Below are 21,043 nucleotides of genomic sequence, written 5' to 3'. Positions count from 1 at the left end.
TAAACGTGAGAAACAGAAATCGAGAAAACCTCCGAGTTCTCGGCTGTCACTGAACAAGTGCCGGGGGACATCGCTGTCAACTGACTTGGGAAGGGTGGCTTAGTAAGGCAGGTCTGGGGCTCGTCTGGGGCCCCAAGGCCGAGATGCGGCATTTGGTTTTGCGCCTGGTATCGTATCTTTGAACTGCCTTCCAGACATGCGAAGAGAGCTCCGGGAGGTGACTACACGGGATGGCCTCAGGGAGAGAGGCCTGGGGAGGGCAGCAGTGTGGGGACAGGAGCTTGGAGACCGTCTGTGAAGCCACACAACCTCTGGAGGGCTGGCTGGTGACATAAAACAAAAGGCCTCCAAGACTAGAGAAGACAGCATAGGCAAGTGAGGACATGCAGCGAGGGGTGGGGAGAGCCCAGAGGATGGTGTCACGGGAGCCGAGTGATGGGAGCGTCTCGAGGCAGTGGGGTCCGCTGTGGACTGACCGCTTTCAGGAGCATCATCCTGTCCTCAAGAGGAACATCTGGGTGGAGTGTTGGGGGGCAAAAATCTGATTTAGGTAAAACAGGAAGAGAGACATGAAGGGGCAGAGACAGGGAGTAGTAGCTGGAGGAGGACGGGGGCAAGGAAGGGGTTTTCACGAGAGGAAGACTCAGAGCCACGTGCACACCAGGGAGCTGCACAGCCAATGGGAAAACCGACCAACAGAGAGAGAACCAAGTGCAGGAGCAGCCACAAGGCAAAGGGCACAGCACAGGTGAGGGGGGCACAGCGCAAGTGAGGGAGGCACAGGCACGGGTGAGGGGGGCACAGGCACGGGTGAGGAACGGCACAGGCATGGGTGAGGGGTACAGGTGAGGAATGGCATGGGTGACGGCTGCACAGGCACAGGTGAGGGGGGCACAGGTGCGGGTGGGGGGGCACAGGTGAGGGTAGCATAGGTGAGGTGCAGATGTAGGTGGGGGGCGCACGTGAAGGTGGTGCAGGAGCAGGTGAGGGAGGAGCAGGTGAGGGAGGAGCAGGTGAGGGGGGCACAGGCACAGGTGGGGGGCACAGGTGAGGGCAGCACAGGTGAGGGCAGTGCAGACGTGGGTGAGGGGGGCACAGGTGCGGGTGGGGGGGCACAGGTGAGGGTAGCATAGGTGAGGTGCAGATGTAGGTGGGGGGCGCACGTGAAGGTGGTGCAGGAGCAGGTGAGGGAGGAGCAGGTGAGGGAGGAGCAGGTGAGGGGGGCACAGGCACAGGTGGGGGGCACAGGTGAGGGCAGCACAGGTGAGGGCAGTGCAGACGTGGGTGAGGGGGGCACAGGTGCGGGCGAGGGTGGCACAGGTGTGGGTGAGGGGGTGCAGGTGAAGGCAGCACAGGTGAGGGCGGTGCAGACACAGGTGAAGGGGCAAAGGCGCAGGTGTGGTGGGCACCGGCATGGGTGAGGAGGGCACAGGCGTGGGTGAGGGGGCACAGGCGCTGGGGAGGGGGGCACAGGCGCGGGTGAGGGGGGCAGAGGCACGGGTGAGGGGGCACAGGCGCGGGTGAGGGGGTACAGGAGCGGGTGAGGGGGGTACAGGTGTGGGTGAGGGGGTATAGGAGCGGGTGAGGGGGTACAGGAGCGGGTGAGGGGGGTACAGGTACGGGTGATGGGGCTCATCCACCACGGGTGTGGGAGCAGGTGCAGGTCAGGCAGGGTCTGCGTGACAGGCATGGGCGAGCATGAAGTAGGAGGGAAAGTCTGAGAGAAGGACAGGTATGAAAGGCTCGCCTGGGAGGAGAGGAAGGAGGCTGCTCTGGGCCCCTCCCTCGAGTGGGGCAGCACTCAGGGTCCCGGTCCGGGTCCACAGTCAGCCATCAGCACAGCAGGTGCTTTCTTCTGCTCAGCCACATTCAGCTCAACAGTCACTAAATGTGGTATTAACACAGTGAATAATTCTTTTTGTTCAGGTTTTCAAAATAATGGCCCCTAGCTATAACGATTCTGAAATAACAGACCTAAAAATCATCAGCAGTTACCCCGGCAGGAAGTGTGCTTTGCGATGCCTGGGTCAGCACCCAGACATCCCCACTCGGCCTGAAGCCCCCAGAGGGTGGGGCTCGCAGCACAGCCTCTCTGCAGACGGGGCAGTCACATGCTACAGGCACCGGCCGGCCTTGTCTTCATTCTGGTGCCAATGTGTCTCCTTGGGCTTGCTTCCCATTCTGCTGACCCCTGTACCCACAGACCGAGTCACTGCCCAGCACCCAGTCTCACTGTGAGACCCTCCCTGCACAGCTCTGGGACACCCCCAGCCACATCACCCCAATGGTGCTGTGTGCCTGTGTGCCTACTGGGGTGAGAGCCGGCCAGGACTTCAACACGGTCCACAGAGCCTCACCCCAAAACTTAGCTCCGCCAACCAGCTCACAATATCGCATTCACTGGAGGAAGCTCATCCCCACCCCCGCCCCTGCCCCTGCCCCTGCCCCCGGCCCCACCCCCGTCCCCTGCCACTGTCCAACATCACCTCAACCTCATCAGCGTCTTTAAAGGATCTGAGATGTCTGTGTGTGCTTGTGCTGATGCCTCCCTCCCACCGGAGCGTAGACAGGGGCCTCACTTGTCTCCCCATCATGCTAGCCCAGGGCCTGACTGTGCAGGGCCTGACCGTACCTGGCCGATGGAGGCTCTCAGACCACTGCTGCGGAGGGGGGTATGGGAGAAGCTAAGTGCACCTGCAGCCCTGCTCTGCAGCCCGGCGGCGGTGCCTTGCTTAGGTCCCAGGGCCGCTCCAGGCCTCACGTCAGTACTGCCTCCAACCTAGCCCAGCCATTACGGTGAATCAGGCATTAAAAAGCACTTTCTTGACTTGAAATGTGTTAAAAAAATAATACTTAAAAAAACAAAAACAAAACCAACCCCCCAGCTAGCAGTGAATTCAAGTCTACATCCTTATCTCAGCCTTGCCCAACCAGCTGGAAAGGCCCAGGCCTGGGAGGGAAGACCTGTGCCAGCGCGGAGGCCGCGGAAGCCAGCCCAGGGCCAAACCACCAGCAAACGGTGGGAGAGGCGAGGGGAGTGGAGCTGGGAGCCACAAAGGGCAGACCATGGCTCTTCTGGGCAGAAGGAATTTCCACTGTGCTCTAGAGACCGGGCGGATTCTGGAGGGCTGTGACGTTACTGCAGATAAAGTACATCGAAAAAGCCGGCCACAGAAGAGGTGGAGACCCGGCCTAAGACTCCTCAGACACGGCATCACCAGGGTCCAACCCAATGTGTGTGTCAGTAAGTCAAACGCTTCGTGGTTGCCTGTGTTTCTCACACTCGAGAACACATGATCCTCCCAAATCCAGCCAAGATGGAGTGAAGAAAACTACAAAAGGCGCAGGAGCAGTTACAACTTCAGCACACAGCTGGCACCCGAACTCCCTACCACAGGCACAGACCCAGGCTGTGAGGCATCAGGGCCATGCCTGGGCAACCAGACTGTCATCAAACCAAAGGCAGAACATGCAAATCTTCCTGTAGAGAATTCAGACACCTGAGAATGCAACCACAAGCCCGGTGTTTCTCAGCCTGTCCTCTGGGGAGAGGACAGCATCACCACCTTGGGTGTGAGAGGACTCACTGGAGCTGGGAACCCTTGCTGGGGCTCCAGGAGAGGAGAGGTGGGCCCAGGTGGGGTTCACAGAGAGGAGCCAGGTCCAGACCAGGGTCTCCAGGTGATGAACACCACTTCCCGCCCTGGGCTGTGCAGACACCCATGTGAAATTCTCTAAACTATTATTTTTCTTCGGCTATCTGAAGGGAAATAGTAGGAGTAAATACACCAAAATGTTAATGAAGTTCTCTCTGTGCAGCAGGGTAACTTGAAGAAAAAACAAATTACTTTTATTTATTTATTATTTGAGACAGGGTCTCACTCTGTCACCCAGGCTGGAGGGCAGTGGTGCAATCTCGGTTCACCACAGCCTGGATCTCCTGGCTCAAGTGATCCTCTCGCCTCAGCCTCCCAATTAGCTGGGACTACAGGCGCACACCACCGCACCCAACTCATCAAATTACTTTTATAATCAGAAAAAAAAAAACCTTTTACAAAATAATGAAAGCAAGGGCTTCCAATTCAAGATGGTGAACTATGCATGTTGAATTGAAAGATGGTGAATTCCTGAGGTCAGGAGTTCAAGACCAGCTGGACAACATGGAGAAACCACGTCTCTACTAAAAAATACAAAAAATTAGCTGGGCATGGTGGCGGGTGCCTGTAATCTCAGCTACTCGGGAGGCTGAGGTAGGAGAATTGCTTGAATCTGGGAGGCAGAGGTTGCAGTGAGCTGAGATTGTGCCACCGCGCTCCAGCCTGGGCAACAGAGTGAGACTCCGTCTCAAAAAAGAAAAAAAAAAAAAAAAAAGATGGTGAGTTATTCATCTTTCCCCTCCCCCACAAGGCATTACCCACCACCCTACACCGGACGGCGTTCACAGCATTTGACAGCAAAAAGACACAGCCACAGCCAGGACGCAAGGCTGAGTCCTCATGAGCCACACCTCCGTTTGGTAAGAGGAAGAAACAAGTCCCTTAAAGCAGGATCCAGCCCAGCAATTCTCAGGGGTGTGTGCATGCCCCCAGGGCACATCTAGCAATGTCTGAAGACATTTTGGGGGCATGCTCTTGGCATCTGGCAGGCAGACACCAGGGATGCTGCTAGACATCCTAGACTGCACAGCCCCCACCACCGACAAAGGCTCCTCCAGCCCAAACGTTCGCAGGCCGGTCCACCCCTTTGGTGGAAATAGAAGCTCATGACGACAGAGGTGCCCAAGGTCAGTGCGTGTTGGCTGCAGCAATTCACGTCTGTTCCATTCTCTTCCCACTTCACCAGGAAAATAGAAAAATAAGTACCTGCCAGGCACCCAGGAGCCCCACCAGCCGCCCTGACGCTGTGAGGAAGCAGACATCCCAAGTGTTACTGCTGAAACCCACCTAGGGCTACCAAGCCCTCTGAAGAGAAAGGAATCCCCTGTGAGTCTGTGGAGGACTCACATGGCAGGAAAGCAGTTTAACTATTACCAGGTGAAGATCCAGTCCAGAGCATGCCAGCTGCTACCACCCTGCAGGAGGACTTGCTCTCAGACTAGAGAAGCAGAACATCCACCCCCCACCTTCCACAACCCCGGTCCTGCAGCCCTCGGTCCCTTCTCTGACATCTGCACTGGCCCCTCCTGGAAACTGAAGAGTGCAGCTCTTGAGCTGTGAGCTCAGCATGTTCTGTTTAGTTCTATACCAATAAATGCTTCTAAATCAAGGATCCCTAGTTTCCCAGCAAAACACCTCCATTATCCACTAGGAATCACTCCTGAAAACTTCTATGAAAAAAAGTTTTAACTCAGTAGTGACACAAGTGTCAACAGAGAAATTATGACACTATAATATTTCTTTACCTGTATGACTATCTGCATGACTATTTTAATCAGAAGCTATGCAATCACTCTGGAATACAAATTACATTCACGATTACAAAACAGCAGAAGACCTGAAGAAGAATCCTTTCCGGAGACCTTCCATCTCCCTTCCTAGTTCCTTCAATACACAATGAAAGGATTTCTGGAAACTTTTCCTATCTAGTGTTTCCCACATTCACCAGCCAGTACCAGAAGTGACAAACCACCACGGTTCTGATCTTCAAACCTTCTTGTGTGTTAGCTGAAATGACAGGCCTGGAGGTGCACTGCGTGAGACAAAGTGGTCAGTGGTTAGGACTCCCTACTAATATCACCACAATGTCCTTGTATAGACTTCTCTCAGCTGCAGGGTCTCCATCTCTAAACCAACAGAGATCCACCAATGTCACTGAGTATTAAAAACCAACCACCTACATCTTGGAGGGATCTAGCAAGAGGCTAGACCTTTGGTAACGTCAGCAACATTGCCCTCCCTTCCTTGATCAAAAGAAGTGCTGGACACACAAGCACCATGAAACCCCACTGCGAAACCATTAGTGTGGCGGGCGCGTGGCTCACACCTGTCAGCCCAGCGCTTTGGGAGGTCAAAAGGCAGGAGGATCGCTTAAGTCCTGGAATCCAAAACCACCCTAGGCAACAGTGAAACCCCGTTTCTTTTTAAAAATATGAAATAAACCGCTAGTTAATAAAGAGGAGGAGAAGCTTGCTTCTGCTTTCCTATGAAGACCAGCTACAGCAGGGTACAGCCTGACTTCAGCAGCGCTAACTGTAGCAGGGACCTTTTAATGAATGCTAGGCACTGTTTGAAACAATACGTGGTCACTCATTTCACCCTGAGGTGACACAGGCGCTACCACTGCTTAAACCTGACAAGAATAAACAGTCACCAACCGGGCCCTGATGTCTCCCAGTAAGGACGAATACAGAGAAGCCTGATTCACACCCCAGCAGGATGGCTCACAGCCTGTGCTCTTCAGCCCTTCGCTGAACTGCCCTGGGGCTGGGGGAACGCACAGCAACCTGGCCATACTGCATCCTCCACACCTGTCGCCACACCGTCCGTCCTCAGACGGACGTGAACACCAGGGCGCTCTGGGAGGAGAGAGAAACTACGCAGCTCTCCAGGAAGGCAACACAGAACCACGAAGCTCAGCCGCAGCTCTAGGAAAGCTATGACCTTGATCTTTTAAGGAATTCCTTCCCAGGTGCTTCATATCAAATCCTCTACTAACTAGGTAAAGAACAAGTATCGGCTCCTTCTACTAGGAGCACAAATTTCATTCTAAGAAGTGCGACGTGGCTAGGTGACCACCCAAGGTCACGCAACCGGCAGCCGGACGGCAAGAGCTGTATTTCAGGTTTGGTGACGCCCATCAAAAAGGTCGCTGGGTGCCATCAGGCCGTGAGGTTTCTCCCTACAGTTCCTAACTAGCGACCGGCGCAGCCGGCACCTCCCAGCCCTGGGCTCCCGGGAGGGCGGCCGGGCACTGGCTGGGCACGCCGCGCACTCCGTCTGCCTGGGCGCCAGAGACCCCACGCCCCGCAAACTCCGGCTTCCACCCCAGCCCCAAATTCGCCACCCTTAGCGCTGCCAGAGTCGTCGCTGGCTCGGCTCACGCAGCTCTTCAAGCAGAGGGGCCACAGTCGGGCGCCTGGCAGGGCCAAAGCCGCCGCCCCCGCCACACCTGCCCGGCGCGGACCGGGCGCCCCTGAGAAGCCCGCACGGCCCCGCGAGGCCGCGCCCAGCTCCCGCCGCCCTCGCCGCTGGCCCTCCCGGGGCGGCCCCTCGCGGCCCGAGGGCACTGGCTGGAGACGCCTTCGCTGCCCTCAGCCTGCGCGGCGCAGGCGCCCACCTTGAGGGTCGGGTACTCCTGGACCTTCAGGGTCATGGACAACTGAGCCGCCGACTCCTGCACCGCCATCTTGAAGCGGCCAAAACATTAGCGGGCGGGGGACGCGCGAGCGCGCTGCACGCCGGGAAATGACGCCACGCGCCGGCCGGAGCAGGATGGGGGCGGGCCGATGCCCCTGCACCAATCGTATCCGCCCAGTCGGCCGGAGGCGGAAGAAGGCGCGAACCAATCACTGCCGGGTTTCCTCTCGTTCAGCCAATCAACGATAGCCCCGGCTGGCGGTTTCCACCTTGAATTCGCTACCGGGTTCAGGCCGCAGACGCCGGAGCTGGGGATGCTCCTGGCCCGGGGCGGGCCGATGGGGTGCGGGCTGCGGCCCGGGCGGGTGGAGCTGGGGCCGAGCGGGCTGGGGGACTTGGCGTCCGTCCAGTTACTTGGGGCTCCCGCGGGGTGGTCCCCTGTGGGTCCCTCGTGCCTGCGGTACCAAGGGCAACGCCAACAAAACGCCTGGCCGCATGCGCCTGTAGCCAGCTATTTTTCTTTGGCCTTATTTTGACCGATTTACAGCTGCTGGAATCCTGATGTGGAACCTCCGACTTCCCAACGGAAGAGGAAAGGCCCAGTACCTAAAACTGATTTATGGACAGAAACTCCCGAAGCATGAGAAGCGTGTGGCCTCTCCGCCCTCTCCTTGCAGGGCGGGCAGCGCTGGCATCCAGGTCGTGCGCTGCCTTCATTTCAGCCACTTCACATTCTCAGCCTTTCAAACACCACCCGTCTCCCTCCTTTCCAAAATAAAACTGAAATTAGATTTTATTAATTAGGAAATGACGTCCCAATTAAACCACCTTGTGTTTCACATAACACATTTCTAAACAACTTTTAAAATATTTGGTGTTTAAACAAAGGAAAAACATCTAAGGTGACACAGCGATGAAGGGAGAACCTCCGCTTGGAGGCTGCTACATGTTACAGCCGCAAGACATCCGACCCGCACTGTGGAATCTTTCTCTGTCTTACTTAAACAGGAGTTGGGACTAAGGAAAGTGTTATTCCTCAAGTGTGTGGCTGCAGACTCCAGTCTTTTAGACATTTGAAGTAAGTTTTACAGTGAGGTGCACAAATCTTAACTATACAGCTTTAATGAATTTTCACCCATATTTGCACTTTTATCTAACCGTGTCCTGGTTGAGATTTAGGACATTTCCCGTGGCACAGAAAGCTCCTCTGCCCCTTCCCGGGCTATATCCCCATCATTCTAACCCTGCTCCCCGTAACAGCGTTCCTGACCTTCCTATAGAGATGGAAGCATGCACTCTGTACTCTTTGCGTCCTTTCACGGTTCGCATCGTGTCTGCCACTCTCCGGGATGGTCCCAGTAGTACACAGGAGCACTGCAGCAGTTGGATGGACTGCACTCCTCTTAGAGACTGCCTTCACTTCACCAGGGATTCAAGATTAACCCAAAGGAAAGGACACGGGTTTCATTTCCATGGTAAAATGATCCTATCCTAGTACCATCTACAGTCAGAAATACTTAGGAATTATAAGGCAGAGGTTTGCACGTTGGAGAGGTTGTTTAACCCTCTACAACCTTTGAGTCATTCATTCTAGGTTTTCTTATGTTGGAAGATAAAACTGTATTTGAATTAGTCCTTTTGTAAACCAAAAAGTGTCTGAGACAGATCTCAATCAGTTTAGAAGTTTATGTTGCCAAGGTTAAGGATCATGACCAGTGACACAGCCTCAAGAGGTCCTCAGAACACATGCCCAAGGTGGTTGGGTTACAGCTTGATTTTATACGTTTTAAGGAGATGTAGGCATCAATCAGTACATGTGAGATTTACATTGGTCCGAAAAGGCAGGACAACACAAAGCACAGCGGGGCTTCCAGCTCACAGGTGGATTCAAAGATTTTCTGATTGGCATTTGGTTGAAAGAGTGCTTATCTAAAGATCTGGAATCGAGAGAAAGGAGCATCTGGGTTAAAAGGGGTTGTGGAGACCAACGTTCTTATTACATAGATGAAGCCTCATAGGTGGCCACCATTAGAAGCAATAGATGGCAAATGTTTCATATCTAGATCTTAAAAAGCTGCTAGACTTGGCCGGGTGCTGTGGCTCACGCCTGTAATCCCAGCACTTTGGGAGGCCGAGGCGGGCGGATCACGAGGTCAGAGATCAAGACTATCCTGGCCAACATGGTAAAACCCTGTCTCTACTAAAAATACAAAAATTAGCTGGATGTGGTGGCACTCACCTGTAGTCCCAGGTACTTGGGAGGCTGAGGCAGGAGAATCACTTGAACCTGGGAGGCAGAGGTTGCAGTAAGCCAAGATCACACCACTGCACTCCAGCCTGGGTGACACAGCGAGACTCCTAAAAAAAAAAAAAAAAAAAAAAAAAAACAAGAGCTGCTAGACTCTCAGTTAACCATTAACTTCTTCAGAATCAGAAAAGACCCGGAAAGGAAGGGCAAGGGATTCCCTACAGAATGTAAATTTCTCCCACAAGAGACAGCTTTGCAGGGCCCTTTCAAAATATGTCAAAGAAATATATTTTGGGGTAAAACACTTTGATTTCCTTCAAGGCCAGCTATCTGTCATGTGATGCTCTACTAGAGTCAAGTTGGAATTTGGCATCTTATTGCTACAGAGTCTGTTTTGTCAGTCTTAAGATCTCTGTTTTAATGTTAATGCTGGTAAGTTTTGTGCCTGAACTCGAAAGGGAGGAGGGGATACTGAGGCATGTCCAACTCTCCCTTCACGTTAATAGTGGCAGGAGGCAGACCGAGCAGTTACCCAGTGAAACCCGACCTTCAAGCCGAAGACAGTTTAAAGCCGACCTACAAGTCCCAGGTAAATCCATGGACTAGATTGGGAACCTGTCTTCCTGCCTGGCATGCTTTCCTCTGATTGGTCCCCACCCTTCACCTATTTTACATATACCTATCCTTCCCTAATTGGCTTTTTGTTTGTTGGTTGGTTGTTTTTTTGGTTTTTTTTTTTTTTGAGATGGAGTCTCGCTCTGTCTCCCAGGCTGGAGTGCAGTGGCACGATCTCGGCTTACTGCAAGCTCTGCCTCCCAGGTTCACGCCATTCTCCTGCCTCAGCCTCCCGAGTAGCTGGGACTACAGGCACCCGCCACCACGCCCAGCTAATTTTTTTTGTATTTTTAGTAGAGATGGGGTTTCACCGTGTTAGCCAGGATGGTGTCAATCTCCTGACCTTGTGATCCACCCACCTCAGCCTCCCAAAGTGCTAGGATTACAGGCGTGAGCCACCGCACCCAGCCCCTAATTGCTTTTTACACTGTTGTCCCCACCTTTGAGTGATGCCTTTGTTTTAGCCATTTTTGCATCCTCACAAACCAATCAGTGTGCACTCTGAGCCCATGAAAGCCCCAAACCCAGCCACATGGAGAGAGAAACCATCCGACTTCAGGTGGGGGACCACCCTCACATCCCTGCTCCACTGAGAGCTGCTTTGTCACTCAATAAAATTCTTCTCCATCCTCCTCACCCTTCAATTGTCAGTGTATCATCATTCTTCTTGGACGTGGGACAAGAGCTCAGGATGCACCAAATGTGAATACAGAGAAGGCTGTAACTCCATAACCCTTTGCCCTTCACCAGCAGAGGGCAGCCACCCCATGTGACAGAAGCAGCAGTGGGACTGAGCCAGCCCTGGAGCCATGGGCTGATGCGGGGCAAGCGGCTGACAGAGCTGTTGACGCACCACTGTCCATCAGGATGCAGACTAAAAGAGCTAATTAGCATGCTGTAACACCCCCTCTGGGGCTTCAGGATCACAGCACCCCTACCTGGGCGCCACCGTGTTCCCCTTGTCTGGACGCCGGAGTCCACCATGGGAGTGGCTTGCAACATGCCTGGTCCAGCCACAAGCCCTGCATGGAGCCTGCGTCTGTGCTGACACTTGGAACCGTTGGCTGGACCCCGCACTCACTCGCTCACACCCCCTCCCACTGGGGGCTGAGTGCACAGTCGGAACAGCCGCAAACGCTGGAGTGCGGGCCTGGCATGACATGATGGGCCAAGTGAATGGGCATCTCCTGTGGCAAACCTGGGCCTGAGCAAGGGTGTCGCTGGCTGGGGGTCTCTGGCTGACAAGTGACCAAGAAAAGTCATGCGCCGCCATCGTGTCCTGAACTGATTTTTCAGGTTTCTTTGAAACCCCCTTGGCTGAAGGTGGGGGTAGGGGGTTCCATTCAGTCAGTTGGGGGAGCTTAGTATCTTATTTTTGGTTTATATAACTTGAAATTGTCCAGCTGTCAGACTCTGCCACCAACTGGCTATCCTACAATCCAACCCCATTCACACTCACTCGCAGAGTTAGCACAGACCCCACAGGCCAAGGGCTCCGTTCCACAAGGCTGTCCCCACTCCAGGTGACGGCTGCACATGGGGTGCCCAGGCCACCCACAAGGCAGATGACACATTTGGGGCTCCCACAAACCCTTCCTCAGGTTCAATAATTTGCTAGAATGACTCACAGAGCTCAGGAAACACTTAATGCTTCCCAGCTTATTATGAAGGACACAGCTCAGGAATAGCTAACGGGAGTGCATCGGGCATGGTGGGGCGAGGAGCTCCCAAGCCTTCTCTGCGCGGCAGCCGCTCAGCACTTCGGGGCATCCACCAGCCAGGAGGCTCTCCTGAATCTCATTATTCACACATTTTCATATCTCAATCCCCAGCCCCCCTCATCCCCAGAGGTGGAGGTGGAGTGGGAGAGGGGCTGAGAATTCCTGCCAACCAATCTCCGGGTCTTTCTAGTGATATCTGGAGGCCCCACCCAGAGTCACTTCATTAACATAAACTCAGGTGTGGTGGGAAGGAGTTCCTTATGAAGAAAGAAGACGCTCCCACACTCAGGAAATCGCAAGGGTTTTAGACACTTGGTGACCGGAACCAGGGACCAAGACCAAATATACTTTTTGTCGTAGTATAGCATTCAACAGCTGCCATGTTCTGCGTCTCTTGGTTCAAACTTCCAAAATCTTAGGCTCCAAAGTCTTGCCCAGTGTGGGTTGGCTGTCCATCTGGACTAATCAGCTATGCCAGGGATGAGCTGTGGGGCACACGTGGTTCCCTTGTGTGGGTGGGCCAGGAGCACGCAGAGAAAAGCAGCCCAGAGACGGATGGTGCTGGGTGCCTCCTGCATGGCCGTGTGGGAGGACCTGACCTGTGGCTCAGGGACGCACTGTCATAGCCAGCTCACATCACATGCTGCAGGGGGTCCACATCCTGGGGCCCTTCTTATCTCCACTGATGGACGGACGTCAGGGCTCTGCTACTTAAAGGTAACCCCCTCAAGTTCGAGGGGGTGACTCTGCCCCAAGCTGCACGACACAGCCCTTCCTCTCACCCAGCCAGATCCGTTTTCTGCGCTGGAGTTGCCCCTGTCGTTATTTTGATCCACACATCTCTTAGGAGGTGGTTAACACCTGCTGAAAAACTTAATTCTTGAATGAATGAAACATGTACCTCACATCAGGTAACAAGATTTTACACAGTTCACTGTTCTGTTGGTTTTTATTTATTTATTTATTTATTGAGACAGAGTCTTGCTCTGTCACTCAGGCTGTAGTGCAGTGGCACGATCACAGCTCACTACAGGCTCTACCTCCCGGGCTCAACCGATCCTCTCACTTCAGCCTCCTGAGTAGCTGGGACTACAGGCATATGCCATCATGCCTAGCTAATTTTTAAAGTTTTTTTGCAGAGACAGAGTTTCACCATGTTGCCCAGGCTGGTCTCAAACTCCTGGGCTTGAGCACTGACTGTTTTGTTGGTAAGAAAATAGCATCTGATTTTCCCTTAAAAGTATTTAGTAATACAAACTATAATTAGTTCCTATGGTTAGCTGTAGAGGTGGAATCGACTCAAGCCACACAATTGTTATCTTCACAACATCTGTTTGTAAATGTCTCCAGTAAAGGCCTCCCGGCTCCCTGGAGGAGGAGGCCGGACACCTGCCAGTGCTGGACGGTGGCCTCCCTGCTCCCAGGTGGGGCCCAGCCAAGGTGAGTGCTTGAGGTAGCTTCGGTTGGGCCAAGCATCTTTTCCTCTGGATAAATACCCAGTAGTGGAATTGCTGGATGGTAGTTCTACTTTTAGTTTTTTGAGAAATTCCACTGTTGGTGGAGGGACTTCCCACTGTTAACCGGTACAGCCATCACTAATGTACACGCCCACCCACCGTTCCCACGGTTAACCAGTACAGCCATCACTATTGTACACACCCACCCACCGTTCCCACGGTTAACCGGTACAGCCGTCACTAATGTACACACTCACCGTTCTCACTGTTAACCGGTACAGCTGTCACTAATGTACATGCCCACCGTTCTGTTAACCGGTACAGCCGTCACTACTGTACATGTCCACCCACCATTCCCACAGTTAACCAGTACAGCTGTCACTAATGTACATGCCCACCGTTCTGTTAACCAGTACGACCGTCACTAATGTACACGCCCACCCACTGTTCCCACGGTTAACCAGTACAGCCATCACTACTGTACACACCCACCCACCGTTCCCACAGTTAACCGGTACAGCCGTCACTAATGTACACACTCACTGTTCTCACTGTTAACCGGTACAGCTGTCACTAATGTACACGCCCACCCATTCCCACGGTTAGCCGTCACTACTGTACACACCCACCCACCATTCCCACGGTTAACCAGTACAGCCGTCACTAATGTACACACTCACTGTTCTCACTGTTAACCGGTACAGCTGTCACTAATGTACACGCCCACCCATTCCCACGGTTAGCCGTCACTACTGTACACACCCACCCACCGTTCCCACGGTTAACCGGTACAGCCGTCACTAATGTACACACTCACTGTTCTCACTGTTAACCGGTACAGCTGTCACTAATGTACATGCCCACCGTTCTGTTAACTGGTACAGCCGTCACTACTGTACATGTCCACCCACCATTCCCACAGTTAACCAGTACAGCCGTCACTAATGTACACGACCACCGTTCTGTTAACCGGTACGGCCGTCACTAATGTACACGCCCACCCGCTGTTCCCACGGTTAACCAGTACAGCCATCACTACTGTACACACCCACCCACCGTTCCCACAGTTAACCAGTACAGCCATCACTAATGTACACGCCCACCCACCATTCTCACTGTTAACCTGTACGGCCATCACTAATGTACACGCCCACCCACCGTTCCCACTGTTAACCGGTACAGCCGTCACTAAAATACACGCCCACCCACCGTTCTCACTGTTAACCGGTACGGCCGTCACTAATGTACACGCCCACCCACCGTGTGTGAGAGCTCCCTTTCCTCAGCATCTTCAGCAGCATCTGTTATTTTTTGTCTCTCTAATAAGAGCCCGTGTAACTGGGGTAAGATGACGTCTCGTCGTGGTGGTGACTTGCCCTTCCCCGATGCTTAGAGGTGCTGAGCATTGTTTCATACACCTGTTGGCTGTTTGTCTGTCTTCTTTTGAGATATGTTTATTCCCAAAATAGACATTTCTATTTTGGGGGCTAAAAGTGCCCTCAGGCCACTTTCTAGTGGGATTTTTTTTTTTATTGTTGCTTGAGTTCCTTGTATACTCTGGATTTTAGTCCCCTGTTGGATGAATAGTTTGCAAATATTTTCTCCCATTCAACAGGTCGTCTCCACCCTCTGTTGACTGTTTCCATCATAGTGGGTTTTTTTGGGTTTTTTTTGAGATGGAGTCTTGCTCTGTCGCCCAGGCTGGAGTGCAGTGGCACAATCTCAGCTCACTGCAGCCTCTGCATCATGGCATTTATTTTATTTTATTTTATCTTATTTATTTATTTTTTGAGTTGGAGTCTCACTCTGTCGCCAGGCTGGAGTGCAGTGGCGTGCTCTCGGCTCACGGCAACCTCTGCCTCCCGGATTCAAGTGATTCTCCTGCCTCAGCCTCCCGAGTAGCTGGGATTACAGGCGCCCACCACCACACCCGGCTAATTTTTGTTTTTTTGTTTTGTTTTGTTTTTAGTAGAGATGGGGTTTCACCATGTTGGTCAGGATGGTCTCAATCTCTTGACCGTGTGATCCACCCACCTCAGCCTCCCAAAGTGCTGGGATTACAGGCGTGAGTCACCGCGCCTGGCCCACATCATGGCATTTTTAAAATTCATCATTTAATGTCATTCTAAGTAAAGAAAAATAAGCAGTTATTCACACGAATTGTAGTGTTCATCGTCACCTAACGCTAGTTTTATTTTTTATTTTTATTTTTATTTATTATTATTATTTTTGAGACGGAGTCTTGCTCTGTCACCCAGGCTGGAGTGCAATGGTGCAATCGTGGCTCACTGCACCCTCCACCTCCTGGGTTCAGGCGATTCTTCTGCCTCAGCCTCCTGAGTAGCTGGGACTACAGGCGCCCGCCAACTATGCCCGGCTAATTTTTGTATTTTTAGTAGAGAGGGGGTTTCACCCGTGTTAGCCAGGATGGTCTTGATCTCCTGACCTTGTGATCCGCCCGCCTCAGCCTCCCAAAGTGCTGGGATTACAGGCGCGAGCCACCGCACCCAGCCTGTCCAACGCCAGTTTTAAGTGCAAACATAAGCAAATCATAGTGTTCACCATCATTTGTCTGACGCCAGTTTTAAATGCAAACGTAAGTGCTTTAGTTCGAACTCTGCGTCACCAAACTCACGAGGCCTGTGCTTCCCAGCTCGATTGCACAGACCTGTTTTGTTCTTCTTCATGGAGTGCTGCATGAAGCTAATGCAGCTGTGATTTCATTTCTGATGTGCACATATTTTACCAATGCCCTCTACTTTTACTGACAAGTAAGGGGTGTCTGGAGGGAAAAGGAACTGTGGGTTGCCTCATCTTTCCTCCTGTCCACCATGTTCAGCACACGCAGTTCTAACGTGAGGAAGTCCCATGCGTAAGAAGTACATGATGGGGTATGTGTTTCTTGGCACTCCCCTGTTTCTTTTGTGTTTATAGCATGTTCTGGTTCAAACAGAAGGCATGGCCTCTCTGGACTTTGGGGCCACTGCTCACTCCGTCCTGGATGTGACACCCTCACTTGCACCCACTGGAAACCTTGCTGTCCTTCCACACCTCATGGACCCCTCAGAATTCTGTGTTCGTGGGGAACTACCCATGCTCTATGCAGCTGGGGTGCCGGGAACAGGTGCAGATGGGATGTCTCTCACCGTTGACCATCTTGTATATGCAAGATTTGGGGTTTTTTTGAGACAGAGTCTCGCACTTTTGCCAAGGCTGGAGTGCAGTGGTGCAATCTCTGCTCACTGCAAACTCTGTCTCCTGGGTTCAAGCAGTTCTCCTGTCTCAGCCTCCTGAGTAGCTGGGATTGCAAGCACACGCAGTTCTGATGTGAGGAAGTCCCATGCGTAAGAAGTACATGATGGGGTATGTGTTTCTTAGCACTCCCGTTTCTTCTGTGTTTATGGCATGTTCTGGTTCAAACAGAAGGCATGGCCTCTCTGGGCTTTGGGGCCCCTGCTCACTCCGTCCTGGATGTGACACCCTTACTTGTATTTACTGGAAACCTTGCTGCCCTTCCACACCTCGTGGACCCCTCAGAATTCTGTGTTCGTAGGGCACTACCCATGTGCACCACCACACCTGGCTAATTTTTGTATTTTTAGTAGAGACAAGGTTTCACCATGTTGATCAGGCTGGTGTCAAACTCCTGACCTCAAGTGATCCACCCGCTTTGGCCTCCCAAAGTGCTGGGATTAGAGGTGTGAGCCGCCTTGCCCGGCCGTATCTGCAGATTTGTTTCTTGAATTAAATTGGGAAAAGTTCCAGTTACGATTTCTTTTTTTTAATTTTAATTTATTATACTTTAAGTTCTGGGGTACATGTGCACAACATGCAGGTTTGTTACATATGTATACATGTGCCATGTTGGTGTGCTGCACCCATTAACTCGTCATTTACATTAGGTATATCTCCTAATGCTATCCCTGCCCCATCCCCCTCACCCCACGACAGGCCCCGGTGTGTGATGTTCCCCACCCTGTGTCCAAGTGATCTCATTGTTCAATTCCCACCTATGAGTGAGAACACATGGTGTTTGGTTTTCTGTCCTTGCGATAGTTTGCTCAGAATGATGGTTTCCAGCTTCATCCACGCGTCCCTACAAAGGACATGAACTCATCCTTTTTTATGTCAGCCACGATTTCTTTAATGATCTTTTCCTGCCCCATTCACTCTTGCTTCTCCTCCTGGGATGCCAATTACGTAAAGGTTGGACAGTTGGACACTGTGGTCTCCGTGGCGGTGCCACAGGACGGCAGGGCTCAGTCACGGCAAGCTGGGAGGAGCTGAGAGCCAACTCCTGTGCTCAGTGTGTCTGTTGGGCTCAGACACACAGGGAGCCAGAGATTTTGCGTAGACATGTGAGGAGAACTGCTGAGCACACTTCACACGGCAGAGCTCCTGAGCCGCGACCCTGGCGGGGTTGTGAGGAACAAGAGAGGATAGCCAACAAGATGGAGAGGAGATGGTGCTGGGCCATCCACACTAACCTGGCAGGAACTGGAGACCTGCTGGGGTGGTTGTACTAAACAGAACAGAGAAGGCAAGAAGAATGCAGTGCTGCACGGCCCCTGCACATCAGCATGGATGCTCCCAACGGGCAGAGCTCACAGAACGCAAGGATGCAGCCCTTGACCAGGGAGGAGCGAGGACGCAGAGGACCAGGGAGGAGCGAGGACGCAGAGGACCAGGGAGGAGCGAGGACGCAGAGGACCAGGGAGGAGCGAGGACGCAGAGGACCAGGGAGGAGCGAGGACGCAGAGGACCAGGGAGGAGCGAGGACGCAGAGGACCAGGGAGGAGCGAGGACGCAGAGGACCAGGGAGGAGCGAGGACGCAGAGGACCAGGGAGGAGCGAGGACGCAGAGGACCAGGGAGGAGCGAGGACGCAGAGGACCAGGGAGGAGCGAGGACGCAGAGGACCAGGGAGGAGCGAGGACGCAGAGGACCAGGGAGGAGCGAGGACGCAGAGGACCAGGGAGGAGCGAGGACGCAGAGGACCAGGGAGGAGCGAGGACGCAGAGGACCAGGGAGGAGCGAGGACGCAGAGGACCAGGGAGGAGCGAGGACGCAGAGGACCAGGGAGGAGCGAGGACGCAGAGGCCAGGGCAGAGCATGACTTGGGAAGTCCAGGGCGCAATTGGCAAAGGATCCTCAGCTATGACACCAAAGGTACAAGCAACACAATGAAAAACAGAAAGATCGTACTTCATCAAAACTAGAAATGTTTGTGCATCAAAGGACATTACAAAGAAAGCAAAAAGACAACCTACAGAATGGGAGAAAATATTTGCAAATCATATTAGATAAGACACTTGGAGACAGAATATATAGTGTTTACAACTCAACAACAAAAAGACAACCCCTTAAGAAATGGACAAAGCACTGAGTACACATTTCTGCTGAGAAGACTTACAGATGACCAATTCGTCACTGAAAGAGGCTCACCACCATGAGTCACCAGGTAAGGTGAATCGTGACACTGAGACATGGCTTCATAGCTGCCAGGAAGCCAAATCCAAGTGGCCAGCGTCAAGGAGACTGTGGGAAGTGGGAACCTCCTACTTTGCTGGTAGGTGCAAAATGAATGCACTTGCTGTGGAAGGTACTTTGGCAGGTTCCCAAAAGTTAAACAGAGTTAGCATAGTCAGCAATTTCACTCCTACGTAGATACCCCAAAGAGCTGAAAATTGGCATTCCAACAAAAGTTTACACATGTAATAGCAGCACTATTCAGCCAAAATGTGGAAACGGGTGCCCATCTACTGGTGAATAAATGAACAACACATCGCCCATCACATGACGGAATATCATGCAGCCATGAAAAGGAGTGAAACACAAGCACGTGCCACAATGCAGGTGAACCTCAAAAACACCAGCTAAGGGAGCTAAGCCGGTCACAGAAGAGTGTATAGCGTGTGACTCCAGTACTAGGAAATGTCCAGAAAATGCAAATCCGTAGGGACAGGATCAGACTGACAGTTGCTGGATGGGGGTGGAAATGGGAGGTGACTGCCGCTGGCACGGGGTCTCCATCTGCCCACCTGGGGCAGCTTCATGCCGCATCTGGGCCTCCCGGGTACTGCCCACCCCAGGTGAGGGGCCACCCCACAGGCAGGGCTCCTCTCTGGGCATTGCACCTCAGGGGAAGACTGGACACTGGCCTAGAGATGTTGTTATTTGTTGTTAAATAAAATTGAGGAATTTTAAAAGATAGTTTTTTCTTGTAAAAAATATGTACCATAATATTTCTCATTTTCATCATTCGTAAGTGTACGATTCAGTGGCATTAGCTATATTCACAATGTTAGGTACCCATACCACTATCTATACCCAAAACATTCATAATTCCTAACATAAACGATGCCTCAATTAAACAAGAACTCCTCGTTCCCCTCTGCCCCCAGCCCCTGGTAACATCAGTTCTAGTTTCTGTCTCTATTAGGCTGCCTGTCCTAGGTACCTCATCTAAGTGGAATAACATCTGTCCTCCTGGGTCTGGCTTATTTCACTAAGCATAATGTTTTCAAGGTCCACCCATCTTGTAGCATGCCCCAAAGTCAAATTTTGTAAATTTTATAAATTTTGTACATTTTTCAATTTTTCTTCAGGTACTGATTTCTAACTTTATACTGTGATGGTCAGACAGGATTCTTTTGTATGATATCTATCCTTTGTAATCTGCTGAGGCTTAATTTGTGCTTAACATGTAGTCTATCCTGGAGAATGTCCCATGGACATTCCTTTTCATGGCTAAATAGTATTCCATTGTATGTGTGACCAAGCTTTGTGTATCCATTCCTCTGTGGACGGACTCTTAGGTGTTTCCAGCTTTTGGTTATTGTATATAATGCTGCTATGAACATTCGTGTACAGGTATCTGCTTTCAATTCTTTTGGATCTAAACCCAGCAGTGGAATTGCTGGGCCATAAGAAAGTTCTATTTTTAGCCATTTGAGGAACTGCCAAATCGTTTCCTACAGAGTCTGCACCATCTTCCATTCCCGGCAGCAGTGCACACACAAGGGTTACAGCCTCTCCATGTCCTCGCCAATGCTGGTCTTTTTCCATTTCCTTGATGATGGCCACTGTCATTGGTGGAAAGCGGCATCTCTGGGTGGATTCAGTCTGCGTGTGCCCCAGGACTAATGGTGCTGGGCATCTCTTCATGTGCTCATCGCCCACCTGTCTATCATCTCTGGAGAAATGTTCACTCAAGTCCTTTGCCAGGGCCAGGCACGGTGGCTCACACCTGTAATCCCAGCACTTTGGGAGGCTGAAGTGGGCGGATCACTTGAGGTCAGGAGTTTGAGACAAGCCTGACCAACCCTGTCTCTACTAAAAATACAAAAATTAGCAGGGCATGGTGGTGTGCACCTGTGGTCCCAGCTACTCGGGAGGCTGAGGCACGAGAATCACCTGAACCCAGGAGGCGGAGCTTGCAGTGAGCCGAGATCACACCGCTGCACTCCAGCCTGAGCGACAGAGCAAGACTCCGTCTCAAAAAAAAAAAAAAAAAATCCTTTGCCCATTTTTAATTTCTTCTTGTTTCTTGTTGTTGAGTTATAGACATCTTTATACCCTCTGAATATTAGCCCCTTGTCAAATAGATAATTTGTAAATATTTTCTCCCATTCTGTCTTTTCACTTTCTTGATGGGGTCCTTTCATGCAAAAAAGTTCTTCCTCTGATAAGTTCAACTTCTCGATGT

The 21,043-nt window shown here is 52.1% G+C and overlaps 1 protein-coding gene and 2 long non-coding RNA genes across 10 annotated transcripts in view, besides 4 other annotated features; 1 reads left to right on the top strand and 2 right to left on the bottom strand.

Moving 5' to 3' along the window:
- Window positions 1-7,367, bottom strand: part of MAEA (macrophage erythroblast attacher, E3 ubiquitin ligase) — a 50,247-nt gene extending 42,880 nt beyond the window's left edge. For all 8 annotated transcript variants that reach the window (NR_123716.2, NM_001017405.3, NM_005882.5 and 5 more), the window contains exon 1: window positions 7,276-7,367. Coding sequence is in view for 7 of the 8 variants with exons in the window: in NM_001017405.3 (NP_001017405.1) it covers window positions 7,276-7,344 (69 nt within the window). In the remaining variant the exon portion in view is untranslated. The remainder of the gene's footprint in view (window positions 1-7,275) is intronic.
- Window positions 1,477-2,440: an enhancer, noted in NCBI's record as "H3K4me1 hESC enhancer chr4:1288606-1289569 (GRCh37/hg19 assembly coordinates)". NCBI's record gives its function as "activates a minimal SCP1, AML or CMV promoter by ChIP-STARR-seq in primed H9 embryonic stem cells {active_cell/tissue: H9 hESC(primed)}" and the evidence as "EXISTENCE:reporter gene assay evidence [ECO:0000049][PMID:30033119]".
- Window positions 5,786-5,968: a silencer, noted in NCBI's record as "fragment chr4:1285078-1285260 (GRCh37/hg19 assembly coordinates)". NCBI's record gives its function as "represses an EF-1alpha promoter that drives an FKBP-Casp9 reporter gene in an ReSE screen in HepG2 liver carcinoma cells {active_cell/tissue: HepG2}" and the evidence as "EXISTENCE:reporter gene assay evidence [ECO:0000049][PMID:32094911]".
- Window positions 7,057-7,336: a silencer, noted in NCBI's record as "silent region_15127". NCBI's record gives its function as "represses an Ori minimal core promoter by ATAC-STARR-seq in GM12878 lymphoblastoid cells {active_cell/tissue: GM12878}" and the evidence as "EXISTENCE:reporter gene assay evidence [ECO:0000049][PMID:35858748]".
- Window positions 7,437-7,846: a silencer, noted in NCBI's record as "silent region_15126". NCBI's record gives its function as "represses an Ori minimal core promoter by ATAC-STARR-seq in GM12878 lymphoblastoid cells {active_cell/tissue: GM12878}" and the evidence as "EXISTENCE:reporter gene assay evidence [ECO:0000049][PMID:35858748]".
- On the top strand, window positions 7,687-10,894 carry LOC105374347 (uncharacterized). The gene is made up of 3 exons (XR_925046.3): window positions 7,687-8,373; window positions 10,050-10,132; window positions 10,810-10,894. It is a non-coding gene; the product is annotated as an uncharacterized LOC105374347 (long non-coding RNA).
- LOC105374346 (uncharacterized) lies at window positions 8,964-9,655 on the bottom strand. Its single transcript, XR_925043.3, has 2 exons — window positions 9,535-9,655; window positions 8,964-9,232 (listed from the first exon to the last, which is right to left on the bottom strand). It is a non-coding gene; the product is annotated as an uncharacterized LOC105374346 (long non-coding RNA).
- Window positions 10,895-21,043: the final 10,149 nt, after the last annotated feature.

This window comes from Homo sapiens, chromosome 4 (assembly GCF_000001405.40).
Source record: "Homo sapiens chromosome 4, GRCh38.p14 Primary Assembly".
Taxonomy (NCBI): Eukaryota; Metazoa; Chordata; class Mammalia; order Primates; family Hominidae; genus Homo; species Homo sapiens.
The sequence above is the reverse complement of the archived record's forward strand: the minus strand, read 5'-3'. Positions and strand labels throughout refer to the sequence as shown.